The sequence below is a fragment of the Homo sapiens genome, chromosome 15, assembly GCF_000001405.40.
Source record: "Homo sapiens chromosome 15, GRCh38.p14 Primary Assembly".
NCBI classification, from domain to species: Eukaryota; Metazoa; Chordata; class Mammalia; order Primates; family Hominidae; genus Homo; species Homo sapiens.
The window spans coordinates 85,785,091-85,798,574 of record NC_000015.10 but is presented as its reverse complement, the minus strand read 5'-3'; the positions used below and the strand labels follow the sequence as shown (position 1 = coordinate 85,798,574).

General features: G+C 51.5%; 1 protein-coding gene across 2 annotated transcripts in view, besides 3 other annotated features; it reads left to right on the top strand.

The window, feature by feature from the left end:
* Nucleotides 3,460-3,529: a silencer, noted in NCBI's record as "silent region_6787". NCBI's record gives its function as "represses an Ori minimal core promoter by ATAC-STARR-seq in GM12878 lymphoblastoid cells {active_cell/tissue: GM12878}" and the evidence as "EXISTENCE:reporter gene assay evidence [ECO:0000049][PMID:35858748]".
* Nucleotides 3,650-13,484, top strand: part of KLHL25 (kelch like family member 25) — a 35,600-nt gene continuing 25,765 nt past the window's right edge. Inside the window, exon 1 of one of the 2 annotated variants that reach the window (NM_022480.4) lies at nt 3,650-3,809. The gene's annotated coding sequence lies outside the window, so the exon portion shown is untranslated. Of the gene's footprint in view, nt 3,810-3,891; nt 12,358-13,484 lie in introns of those variants that run through there. The other variant, XM_047432938.1, reaches the window with a different exon arrangement.
* Nucleotides 3,680-3,979: a silencer, noted in NCBI's record as "silent region_6786". NCBI's record gives its function as "represses an Ori minimal core promoter by ATAC-STARR-seq in GM12878 lymphoblastoid cells {active_cell/tissue: GM12878}" and the evidence as "EXISTENCE:reporter gene assay evidence [ECO:0000049][PMID:35858748]".
* Nucleotides 9,042-9,726: an enhancer, noted in NCBI's record as "H3K4me1 hESC enhancer chr15:86332080-86332764 (GRCh37/hg19 assembly coordinates)". NCBI's record gives its function as "activates a minimal SCP1, AML or CMV promoter by ChIP-STARR-seq in naive H9 embryonic stem cells {active_cell/tissue: H9 hESC(naive)}" and the evidence as "EXISTENCE:reporter gene assay evidence [ECO:0000049][PMID:30033119]".

Below are 13,484 nucleotides of genomic sequence, written 5' to 3'. Positions count from 1 at the left end.
GTGCTTATATGAACGTAAGGCATGGGCTTGGATGAAATCACTTAGAAGGTGTAGGTAGGGAAGGGAATAGGTCTTCTTATCTCCCTATGCTCCCTACGCTCGCTTCCCGGGCGCTCCAATATTTGTAGGTCTGAGAAGTGAGGGGGAATCAGCAGAGGAGACTAAAAAGAACACCTGAGAAGGTAGAAAGGAAACCAAGAGGCCAGGCGCGGTGGCTCACGCCTGCAATCCCAGCACTTTGGGAGGCCAAGGTGGGCAGATCACCTGAAGTCGGGAGTTTGAGACCAGCCTGACCAACATGGAGAAACCCCGTCTCTACTAAAAATACAGAATTAGCCAGGCGTGATGGTGCATGCCTGGTGATCGCAGCTACTCGGGAGGCTGAGGCAGGAGAATCGCTTGAACTCGGGAGGCAGAGGTTGTGGTGAGCTGAGATTGCGCCATTGCACTCCAGCCCGGGCAACAAGAGTGAAACCCCATCTTTAAAAAAAAAAAAGAACCAAGAATTTGATCATCTATTAACGAACATATATTGAATTCTATACATCATCCCAGAATTTCTGAGACTTCAGATTCTGGGCCACCAGGAATACTAGCTAGATGGCAATGCTGGGAGGAAGGTATTGGTAAGGATTGTTGGTGGACAACAGGCATCTATTCCCTCTTCCTTGTTAACAGAACCCTGACTTTGAGGAGGTGATGTACTAACATAAAAGTCTACATTTCCCAGCTGCTCTTGCAGGTAGGAAAACTAAATTCTGTCCATAAACAAAAGTGTTGTGTGGGACTTCTGCAGTCTGCATAAATAGAGCTAACCAGGCTGGAAGACACACATCTCATGCTCTTCCGCCATTATTCCTTCCTACTGTCTGGGATATAGGTGTCAGAGTTGGAGCCCTAGCAGCCATCTTGGACTATGGGGCAACCTTGCAAATGGGAACCAAGCATTACAGATGAAGGAATAAAAATACAGTAGCCCGTGTTTCTGACAACTGTGGAGTTGCCAACAAAGGATAGCTTAACTTTAGCTTTATTTTGCATAAGCAAGAAACTTCTATCTTGTTTCAGTCACAGTTAATTTTGGGTTTTCTGTCATATGCAGTAAAAACTAATTCTAACGGATATGAGATTTATTCACAGTATTTCAAAACTGTGTAGACAACTTTGATGCAGCCCTAAGAGTTCTGAGATGAATTCATGGTCCCTGCCCTCCCAGAGCTCCCTGCACAGCAGGTGGACTAGCTAAGCAGGCCATTACAACACTGGCTGGTAAGGGCTGCGTTGACGGTAATGCTCCAGGGTCCGCAATAGATGGCAAGGCAAACTTCCGCTCTTCCTCTCATCTTCTTTCAAATCGTACCTAAATTCGATTAACTCCACACGTGTTCTTAGTCTGATTTTGTCCCATTGCTTACACTGTATTTGATTTTAATATATTCTAGTACCTAATTTAAGCCTTGGAGTTGAAGAGAGAAAAAATTATAATGTGGACCAGATTTTACTGGGCGGTTGGCACTTATAATTTTACAGCGAACCTGCATAAAATAATAAGCAACAGTTATAAACTTGCCAAGAATCAATTTTGCATGTGGAGCTTCATTCAACCAACAATTCTATAAACACTCTAGTGCTAGAAAATCGGCAGGATAAAACTACAAATGTGATCTCTGTCATTTCCTTAATGAAGTAATTACTTTGATGCTAATGTGTTGGAGCTGGTTCCTTCCGGTGGGTTGGTGGTCTCGCTGACTTCAGGAATGAAGCTGCGGACCTTCACGGTGAGTGTTACAGCTCTTAGAGGTGGCGTGAACCCAAAGAGTGAGCAGCAGAAAAATTTACCGTGGAGAGCGAAAGAACAAAGCCCCCACAGCGCCAAAGGGGACCCAAGTGGGTTGCTGCTCCTGGCTGGGGGGCGGCCAGCTTTTATTAGCTTATTTGTCCAGGCCCATGTGCTGCTGATTGGTCCATTTTACAGAGTGCTGATTGGTCCGTTTTACAAACCTCTAGCTAGCCACAGAGTGCTGATTGGTGCATTTCTACAGAGCACTAATTGGTACATTTTACAAACCTCTAGCTAGATACAGAGCGCTGATTGGTGCATTTTACAATCCTCTTGTAAGACAGAAAAGTTCTCCAAGTCCCCACTGGACCCAGAAAGTCCAGCTGGCTTCACCTCTCACTACCTTTTCTCTTCAGAAGGCACCTTAACAGTGCACTTGGCAAGCTTCTTACCTCTGGCCAATATTGTTCATAAATATCAGAACCCTGGTGCCTTAGATGTCTGCAGATCTGGGCCAAATGGAAGCACAAATCTGTACTGAGCACTTACTACATGCCAGGCCTATTCCATATGTTATCTTAATCTTTCCCATACCCCTGCAAGAAAGGTTTTAGAATCCTCTTCACCAGTAAGAACCAGACACCAGAGAGTCTGAGCCATCTGCTTCAGTCCTACCCAGCTCTTGAGGGGCAGGGCGGGGCTTCAAACCCAGAACATCAAGCTGTTTCCCAAAAATGCCTTCCCTGGTGGTATCTTCTCATCATCTCCCAGTCTTTTAACCCTGGCATATCTGTCCTGTCTAAGCAGCTTTCTACCCAGGGGCTCTATTTCCCAGGTTCCACTAGTCACAATCCTATCCCCTCTCCCAAATCTTTGTACACTTTCTTAGACCTTCCTTGCACCTCCCACCTCCACCTCCGTCAGGGTGACCTCTGCTTCCTGGGAATTTCCCCGCCCCAGGCTTGGCTCTTTCGTTCTTATCACTTTCTATGCTTTACCTTTTGTATCCTTAAGCAACCTACTTGAATTATCGATTTTCATTGGGAGGGAGAAAAGAGAGGACATTTATTGCGCACTCATTTGTCTGGGAATTTGTCTCCTTTAATCCCCCAAATAATCCGATGAGGAGTTTTTATCTGCCGCTTTACGGATGAGATTGGACACACACAGTAAGCTGAAGTAGTAGTCAGGAGGGAAAAGGACGAAGAATCACAAACCGTTCTCCCCCTCCAAGATGAGTGCATGGTGTGGGCGTCCAGGAAACGTTCCTGGAAGAAATTATTGGATGGATGGATGAATGAATGAATGAACGAACATTTAAAGGCTGGCTTACGAAAGGAGTTTAGTGAGAAATGACACAGAGAGGAGAGCTGAAATACTCCAAAAAATACAGATTTCAAGTACAGGTGGGGTTTGGAGGCTGCAGAAAGTCCCAAACATTCAAACAAGCCCAGAGTGAAAGACAGGGTTTCATTAACACTCGGGCAACTACTAGTGTGGCTCTGAAGAGTCTAAAGAGATCTACAACACTTGTGACCCGAACACAAAAGAGGCATATGCAATCTACAGTGCTCCCTCTGGAAAGCTCTAGAACACCGTCGCGTTTTGTTCCCAAACTTGGGCGGCGGGGTTGGGCAGGCGCCTGTCTCTTTAAGAATCTGGTCGAAGTCCTTTTCCTCGCCCCGCCCCGCCCCCGGTCCCCCCCCCTCCCCGCCCCCGGCCCCCCACCCCCCGGTGCCGGCGCGGCCTGGGGCCCACCCCCTTCTTTTCTGCGGCTGCACTGAAGGGTTCGGCTGCCCATCCGTCACAGAGGCGATGCCTCTGATTGGCTGCTGCTCTTCGGGCCGGGAGGCGGGGCGGGAAGGCCGGAGAAACTAGTTTGTTGGCGGCGCCTAGGCTGTATCGCAGCGAGAGCGTTTTTGCCTGTGGAGAGCCGGCCGACGGGAGCCGCGGCGGAGCCTGTTGAGCTCGCGCGGGCTGCCGGGAGTGGTCTCTGAGGCGGCGGCGGCGGCGGGGATCGTCTCCGGCAGTGAGTATCCAGGCCGGGCGGGGACGCCGTGCTCTGGCCGCAGCACCCGCGCCCCCGCTCCCTGCGCTGGGGACTCACCACCCCGGGCCGGGCCGGGACCAAGCGCTCGGAGCCCCCGCGGGACTACGTGTCCCGGGAGGGGGCCCCGCGGCTGGGGCCGGGGCCCTGGGACAATGGTGGGGAGCGGCGGCCGGCCGGCACCCCGCGGCTCCGCGAGGGAATTCGCCGAGAGCTCTGCGCGAGGGAATGAATTGTTTGGCAAATGGATGTTGCGCGCGGGAGCCGCTACTCTTTCCCCAGGGAGTGGTTGATTCATTGAGTCCGCAGACTCTTTTTTTTAAAAAATTACTATTGATCCTGGAAAGAGAGACTGCTTGTCTTTGAGGACGCGAGCGGCGATGCCCCGCGCCTTGGACGCCCAGGCCGGATGGCTGCCTGCCTGGCGCAGAGCGAGGGCCCGGGGTTCACAAGGGGAGGGTTTGCGCGGGCCTGGCCGCGGAGCCCCGAGCCGTTCACGTTCCGCCTGCCAGGGTCCCTCGTTTCGGTTTGCAGAACTGTCCAGCGGCAGAGAAAGGTCGCACTCAAAGGCACACCCACCTGTCCACCTGGGTGGCGGCCAGACTGGCAGGTCCAGAGCAAGCCCTCTAGCCTGACTCTAATTACCACACTTGCCCTGGCTCCGAGACACACCGCGCGATGTTACGCCCCCACTCCCCCTGTCTCTTTCGTAGTTGCTTTAGAAGCTTTTCTCTTGGGGGATTGTGCCCGGGAGATACCAGATACTTTTTTTGTGTTGCTGCTCTAAGCCCCCAAAGTGCATTCCCATTGTCTTTGAACAAAGAAACATCTCTCTAGAGGCCTGACCCAACGAACTGTGGGTGAGGGGGCGGACCCAGGCCCCTGCAGATTTAATCTGGACGCTCTTGGGTCCTGCTGGATCCCGGTGAATTTGACCTTGGGGAAGGCGGGCTGGACTTTGACTCTCCTCGGTAGTCAGGGCAGAGAATGCCAGGTGTCTGGACCATTTGGTTCCACTCTATCGGCCCAATAGAGAGAGGAAGGGAAGGAAGTTAGCAGTAGCACCAGGAGAGGAGGCAGGATTCCACGGTCTGTATCCTGGACCAGATTCCAGTGACCGTTATGGGGCCAAGCCCTCTGGGACCCTGGGTCCCAGTCTCCCCATTCATAGGAGGAACTGATGCTCAGTGTGCTGATCTGAGCTGTGAGGATTCCTGGCATGTTGGTGAAGGCTTGCGTGGGGGTCTGGGGAAGAGTAGGACACAAAGTCTACCCCACCTCAGGGTCCATTTGGTGTCCCAAGACCGGAGGCTCTTGGGTCCACAAGCTGTGCCTGTGAAGGTTGACGTAGTCAGTCTTTTTCCGGCCTGGCAGCTATTTCAGTTTTGAGTCATTTGTCAGGCAGTGACTCCAGGGTGGTTGATAAAAGGGAGGTAGAAATGGAAGACACCTTCATCCTGGGGTCTTGGGCTGCAGTTGGATTTATGTATGTGGTGCGGAGAGAAGAGCTATAGGCAAATTGCATGCTCCACATCGGAAGCAGGTTCTGCAGCCCGATGCCCCTTAATAGCGTTTTAAATCTGCGGGCACCCCGTGTGGGCAGAAGAGAGCAGGAAGAAAAGAGAACAATTACCCAGTGAAAGCAAGCTTGGTTCGTCCCGTCTATCACTTGGGCGGGGGCGGGGGGAAGGGTAGGATGAGTGAGAGTGTTATTTAGTGGGTGGTTTGTGACTGATTGATTGATTGATTCATTGTTTGAACAGACTTGATTGGGCACCTGCTGTGTGCCAGGCCCTGAGTTAGGTGCTGGAGACTCTTCCTTTAGTGAGCACCTAGATGAGGGAGTGCTGGCACATGGATTAGGGGCCCTGACACATCGTAGTGATAGAGGCAGCAAGAGGAGAGAAGGAGACACAGGTGGGCAAGGCTTCCTGGGGAGAGGATGCCTTGACTAAGATGAGAAAGGCATGTCATCGCCCAGATTCGAGGTGTAGGGCAGCCACCTTTGTCCTGTCGCTCACCCACACTTCTCCCAGAGGCCCAATTCATTGCCAGCCTCAAGATAGGCACAGGTTGAGGCCATGGAGAATGCAAGTGGGAGGTGGTAGAAGGTTTGCTCTCGTCCGTAGTGTCTGGCCGCACAGTCAGCAGTCCAGCGCATTTGTAGGAAGCTGGATGGCTTCTGGATGCAGCCTCTCTTCTCTGGGGGTCCTGGGAGAACCTACCCCCTGGTCCCAAAGACCAGCCCATTGTCTGAGCCCCTAGTCCCTCTGTACCACCAGGCAGTGTAGGCATAGCCTGGCCAGTGTGGGCAGAGCTGGCACAAGAAAACAGAGTGGCCAGACACAAATGAATTGGTTGATTGAGATGCTGGTTTTCATCTAATGTGGTAAATTTCATAATTTAATTGCCTCAGCCAGCCAAGGCTGTTGAAGCATTTTCCTCACCAGGAAACACTTAGTTGGAACAAGCTGGGGGTAGAGGAGGGAGGTGCAGGGGAGGAGGGAGGAGGGAGAACTTAAGCATCCACAGCTTTCAGTCACAGCATCCCAACAGGACTTATCAATCAGCAGCTATCCCCAGCTGATGGAAGTCAGCCCAGCCCCTACAGTAGGTTCCAACCCCTTTCCTTGACCACCTCATTGCCATACCAACCTAAAGCTGTCAAAAGCTGACACCTGTCATCTTCAAGGCATAATCATCCCATACTGCCTCCAGGTCCTTCTGGGGCTGTTAGAAACTGGGGAAGGGGTGCTGTGGGATTAGGTGGGGAAGCGAAGGGGTTTGGGGATAGGAAGGGCTCCCTGTTAAGTCCTTTTAACCCAGGAGCAGTGGAAAGAGCATGGGCTTTGGCACCAGACTGGGGTTCAAATGCTGTGGGTCTGTGATCAAGTTCCTTAACCTCATTGAGCTTTGTTAGCTTTTTTCAGGGGTATGGTGAAGGTTAACCACCATACTATGCAGAATCCCCTAGAATGGGGTCTGGCACCAAGTGGGTGTCAGTCATGCCGGGCTCCCCTTTCCCTTTTTTGTTTTTGTTCCCTGGGTGCAGAATTGAGGTTGGGTGCTTGTTGCTCTGCAGCTGACTTGCAGCCCTCCCCTGAGTCCCCAGTCACCTCACCCCCGCCCCCTACCTCTCTTGCCACTCTTTCTTACTGCTAAACCTTTCCTGCTTTCCTTCCAAGCCCTGTCCCAGCACCCTGTTGGATGATAAACGATAGATGTGTGTGGCTTATTAACCTTTTTTTCTTTTGAGAAGGAGTCTCGCTCTGTCGCCCAGGCTGGAGTGCAATGGCGCCATCTTGGTTCACTGCAACTTCTGCCTCCTGGATTCAAGTGATTCTCCCGCCTCAGCCTCCTGAGTAGCTGGGATTACAGGCACACACCACCATGCCTGGCTAATTTTTGTATTTTTGTAGAGACGGGGTTTCTCCATGTTGTCCAGGCTGGTCTTGAACTCCTGATCTCAGGTGATCCACCCGCCTCAGCCTCCTAAAGTGCTGGGATTACAGGCATGAGCCACTGTGCCTGGCATTTTTCTTTTTTTTTTTTTGAGACTGAGTCTTACCTTGTAGCCCAGGCTGGAGTGCAGTGGTGTGATCTCAGCTCACTGCAATCTCCACCTCTCAAGTCAACCAGTTGTCTGCCTCAGCTTCCCCAGTAGCTGGGATTACAGGCACCCGCCACCATGCTCGGCTTTTTGTATTTTTAGTAGAGACAGGGTTTCACCATGTTGGCCAGGCTGGTCTTGAACTCCTGACCTCGTGATCCACCTGCCTTGGCATCCCAAAGTGCTGGGATTACAGGTGTGAGCCACCGCACCTGGCCTTTTTTTTTTTTTTTTAAATGGCAGCTCTGTGGTCTCAGAAATCAATTTCATTGAGAAATTGCACCATATTTTCTGCAAATACATAAAAATCTTCCTGGTCATACTTTTCTCCCACAGTGGTCTCCTGTTCCCTGAGTTGGGTACAGAGTCTGTATGAGGCTCACCTGGGCCACTTCTTGTTTCAGCGTGACCAAGGCCCGAGGCCAACTCCGTCTCTTCACCATCCCATAGCTAGAGCCCTCAGACCTGGAACCTGTTGGCAGAAAGAGCACTTGAGTCAGAGTAGGGGAGTCGTGCTTGGCCCCAGCTTGCCTGTGTGACTACATGCAGGTTCCCTTACCCCTGTGAGCCTCAATTTGCTCTCCTGTATAATACTTCTATTAAATGTTTTGCTATAAAATTTCAAAAGTTCTTGCAAGCTCTGGTGTTCAGCAGTTTTATAAGGCTCGAGTTACTTGCTTAGCCTTTCTGGTCAGGAAGAGCTTGAACAGCCAGTAGAGTACAGAGGGGCCAATTTAGAAGTCAGGAATGGACCGGGCGAGGTGGCTCACCCCTGTAATCCCAGTGCTTTGGGAGGCCGAGGTGGGCGGATCACCTGAGGTCGGGAGTTTGAGACCAGCCTGACCAACATGGAGAAACCGCTTGTTTACTAAAAATACGAAATTAGCTGGGTGTGGTGGCTCATGCCTGTAATCCCAGCTACTTGGGAGGCTGAGGCAGGAGAATCACTTGAACTGGGAGGCGGAGGTTGCAGCGAGCCGAGATTGCACCATTGCACTCCAGCCTGGGTGACAAGAGCGAAACTCCGTCTCAACAACAACAACAAAAGAAGTCAGGAATGGGGTTCTAGTTCCAGCTCTGCCTTGGATGTGTGCTGTGGGAATTGGGCAAGTTACTTTCTCTGGGATCTAGTTTTTTCACCTGTAGAGTGAGAGGGGTGACGTAGGCAAGCTCCTAGTTTCCTGAAGACTCGATTCAGATTTTCCCAGTAACTCCAAAGGGACGGGGCTGTTCTCCTTGAGCCTCTGGCAGTTCCCTGTCCCTGCCCACTGCCTCAGAGTTTGAGGCCTCCTGCGAAGGGGCTGGTGGAGACAGAAGACTGCATCAGGGGAGCACCAGGCTGGGCTTAGGGGAGCAGGCGTGGGCTCAAGGGAAGGTGGTGTGTGGGTTACTCATTTCTCAGGGCCATCGCTCTGACTGGTCGTGGGCAGGGAGCTGGGCAGCAGTTCGTGGGAGCACCAGGATGACCCCCTCTGGAATGACTAGGGTGAGACTTCCCTGGTGGGATGTCCCTTGGGCACAGAGCCAGGGCCACCTCCCAGCAGAGAGTTGGACAACGAGCTTTGAGGAGCAAGGGAGATCTTCAGCAGATTAGCTGGACATGGTGGCAGGCGCCTATAATTCCAGCTACTTGGGAGGCTGAGACAGGAGAATCGCTTGAACCCCGGAGGCAGAAGTTGCAGTAAGCCGAGATCGCGCCATGGCACTGCAGCCTGGGCAACAGAGTAAAATTCTGTCAAAAAAAAAAAAAGGGATCTCAAGGGAGCCCAGCAGGGCAGGAGGAGGCGACTGAGCACCAGCCTGCAAGACCAGTTGGATGGCTCCTCCCACGGGGAAGCAGGGCTGAGCAGGCCATGGGAGCGCTGTGCCTGCTGCCACCAGCTCAAGGGCCACATTCACCTTAGGTGTCACTCCCCACCCATCTCTGCCAGGAGGAGCCTTCCACCATCAGCCGAGTGGTGAGGAGTAGGATGCAGGGAAAGGATGGAGACAAAAAAGCCTTGCTTACATTTTTTGCCTGTTCCCATTGGGCCCCCAAGGAGAGGCTGACCACAGATCCATCTAGGCTGAGCAGAATTAATTTCCTAATTAAGATAAGGAGAAGCTGTGCTCATTCAAACTCCAGGACAAGCTGCCAGCCAGGTTTGCTGTTGGCCAGGCCAATTTGTCTGAGAGGAGTGAGGGCCAAGAGATGGAGGAGCTCTTTTTCTAGAAAACCATGGCGATTCCATCCATTGTCCGGAGTTCATGTTCTGCACCCTAGCCAGCTGGGCTTGTGAGACCTTGGCAGCAAGTCCCTTAACCTGTGAACGCTTTTGTTGTTCACAGGCTTGGAAATCTGAGGGAGAAAGGTACCCAGCTTTGTTCATGCAACAAACATTTATTTAGTTTTCTGAATGGCTCGCCGTGGACTAGAAGCTGAGGAAAGAAAGTCAGGTTCAAAGAGCTCCTGCTTGGGAGCTCAGCGTCTGATGTGGGAGGCAGACAGGCGGGTATGGCACAGCGCTAGGGTCTCAATAGTGGGCATGTTGAGAATCTGCCTCAGTTTCCTCATTGATGAGGTGAGGAAGTGGACTGTTGGTTTCCTCATTTCAAATGTGTCCAGGGAATTTTTTTCCCCCATCTGTTCTCTGCCGGGCTCTGGGATTCAGTGGAGAACAAGGCAAGGTCCTCCCCGACCCTCTCCTGATCCCACATTCAGCTGAGGGAGGCAGACAACAGACTGACAAAAATATGCAGCTGCAGAGGAAGTGGACAGGGAGGTGTGGGAAGATGGTCAAGTGAGGATGCCCTCCGAAGAGGGGTCAAGGAAGGCCTCTCTGGGGTGGTGACATTTGAGCCAGCCGTGGGAGGATCAGAGAAAGGCCTGCCAGGTGGGTAGCACAGCTCGTGCAAAGGCTGGGCCTGCGTGGGCTGCGGACAGAGACATCATGAGGCACAGAGAGGTGCCAGACCCTGACATTCTGCAGTCTTCTGGTGCAGGGAGAGACTGAGGATAACATTGTTCTCTTTCATTTTATTGTTTTTCTCTGATTTAAATAATATATCAATGGATTTCCTTTTTTTTTTTTTTTTTTTTTTGAGATCTAGTTTCCCTCTCATTGCCCAGGCCGCAGTGCGGTGGCGCGATCTCAGCTCACCTCCGCTTCCCGGGTTCAAGCAATTCTCCTGCCTCAGCCTCCCAAGTAGCTGGGATTACAGGCGCAAGCCACCACGCCCAGCTAGGATTTCCTTTATAAATGAAAAATATAGGAAAAGATGGAGCACAGTGTGAGGGTCCATCCCCTCCTTTGTATCTGTCCACAGATGGGTGCATACCCTTCTAGTCCTCCGTTGTATGTGCAGATTTTGTGTTTACATAATTTGAATCATACTCAATACTCTACAACTTATACCACTTAGTGTGTGGTGGAGCTCTTTTTCACAGCGTCGTCATATTCCACACTGCAGCCAAACCATCATTTCCTCTCATTGTGTCCTAAGGAGAGACTTTAGGTAATGCCTCATTTTCCCTGTATGATCAATGAAATCTTGTGTGTCCTTCATCATGCATCTTTCTGAGCAAGTGTGATTATTTTAAATTTTCATTGTCAAAGCCAAATGCCCTTTGCAAAGATTTACCCAGTTTACTCTTTCACTAATAATAGTGCCTGAATGCCCATTTCTCTACAGACTCACCTAATTTTTTTTTGAGACTGAGTTTCGCTCTTGTCACCCAGGCTGGAGTGCAATGGCATGATCTCAGGTTACAGCAACCTCTGCCTCCCAGGTTCAAGCGATTCTCCTGCCTCAGCCTCCCAAGTAGCTGGGATTACAGGCAAGCGCCACCACGCCCAGCTAATTTTGTATTTTTAGTAGAGACTGGGTTTCTCCATGTTGGCCAGGCTGGTCTCAAACTCCTGACCTCAGGTGATCCACCTGCCTCGGCCTCCCAAAGTTCTGGGATTACAGGCGTGAGCCACTGCGCCCAGCCCCCAAATTTTTGATGTTATCCACATTTTTAGTTTTAGCTAATGTGATGGGGTGGGGGGGCGGGTGGAATCTCATTGTTCCATTAAAAAAAATGTTTATTCAGGCTTTGTCCTTTGATTCTAGTCCACTTTTGTCTTTCCAGAAGATCAAAGTTTATTGAGTGCTGGTTCTGCCTCTTATTGGTCTCCTGACCTCAGCTGGGTACTCATCTGTGAAATGAAGCCCTTTAATCCCTGCCCGCCCCTGCCCCCCACTAGGCTGCTGTATTTTTTGCATGGGAAAACATTCCTGAAAGTTCATTTTATGCTGAAAAGCTCTGCAAACATGAAGAGGCATGGTTTTTACTAGCGAAATGGAAATATCTGGAACATTTGAGTGAATTCAGGTGTTTCTAAACAGCCAGCATATCCAGGGGAGGAGCTGGGGTGACTTTGCCCTTGTGCAGTGGAGCTGGCCTTAGGTGGGAGGTGTCTGCCTATTGTCCCAGAGATGCACGGGGCCTTACCTGGCTGAGAGCCATCTGGCTGGGCTTGAGAGCTCTTCTCAGAGGGCTGGCTTAGTCAATGATCTGTCACCTGTCTGCAGGAATAAAGAAATGAGCCAGGAGGACAGAGAGAGTTCCGTAGCTGGTCCAGAGAAAGGCCCAGAAAGGGGCAGTGGCCACCACAGACTAAACCCTGTTTACTTGCCTGTGTGGTCCCAGGAGGCATCGGGCCCCATGATAGAGGAGCCAGGGAACTGCTGACCATGGCCTGGGCCCCAGAGGAATTCATTACTGCTGGGTACCTGGGGACGTTTTGGCCAGGCTCTCCCCACCCTTCAGGAAGCAACATCCAGGTTTGGCCATGACTCCCCTGCTGCCCTGGAGATGACTCAGAACCAAGCTTCAGAGGAGGCTCCTGTGATCCCAGCCAGCCTGACCTACTTGGAACAATCTCAGGGACAGATGTAGGTAGGGGGAAGGGAGAGGGTAACCAAGGGGACAATGGGACCCTCAAAGGGCTTTGGTAGGGAGGGCTTCTGCCTTTATACCTCTGCAGCTAGTGAGCAGGAGAAGGGAAAGGGGAGGGGCCTCGCTGAAAGCAGTTTTTGCGTTTATTAGACACCTCCTGATTCTGAGAGTTGGGTGTTTCATTAAGAGAGTAAGGGAAGCATCTCACTCTAGAGCTGGTTTTGCATGGGTCCTCCTGGGGCGGGGGGGTGGGTCGGCTGCCTTTGCTGGGCTCCTGTCCCACTGCCATTGTGAGCGCAGCTTGAAGGCATTTCGCTGAGTTGGAGTGAGGTCGAATCACCAGGTTTCTTTTCAGGCATCAACTGGTATATCTGTGTTGCAGGAAGTTGCAGTTGCTATTTTTACCACTCCAACCAGGACTTTTTACTGGGAGGTACAATTACAAGCAAAATGCCAGGGTTTGGCTGGTTAGCTAAGCCGTGGGAGGCTGCTGCGGGCTGAGGCAGGGGCCACTGCACATGGTCCTTTGCTGTGTTGTACAAAGCAAGACACGTTTGCATGTGGACACACACCTACCCTGGTTGCTGGGTGGCTTTGTCTGAACCACTTCCTGTGCCTGGAGTTTCCTCTAGGTGGAAAAAAAAAAAAAGGACTTTGCTGGGTTTTGCTCAGATAATTGTACCTGGCTGCCAGGGCAGCTCCAAAGCTGTAAGCAATGTAGTTCTGACTGCCCAGAAGGTTGAAACTTTGTTAAATGAAATTGAGAACCTGCTCTATACTACCCACTCTGCTAAGGACCAGGATATAGGAATACATCAGTTGGCCGGGCGTGGTGGCTCATGCCTGTAATCCCAGCACTTTGGGAGGCTGAGGCAGGCAGATCACGAGGTCAGGAGATCGAGACCATCCTGGCTAACATTGTGAAACCTCGTCTCTACTAAAAATACAAAACATTAGCCGGACGTCGTGGTGGGCGCCTGTAGTTCCAGCTACTCAGGAGGCTGAGGCAGGAGAATGGTGTGAACCCGGGAGGCGGAGCTGGCAGTGAGCCGAGATCACACCACTGCACTCCAACCTGGGTGACAGAGAGAGACACTGTCTCAGAAAAAAAAAAAAAAAGAAA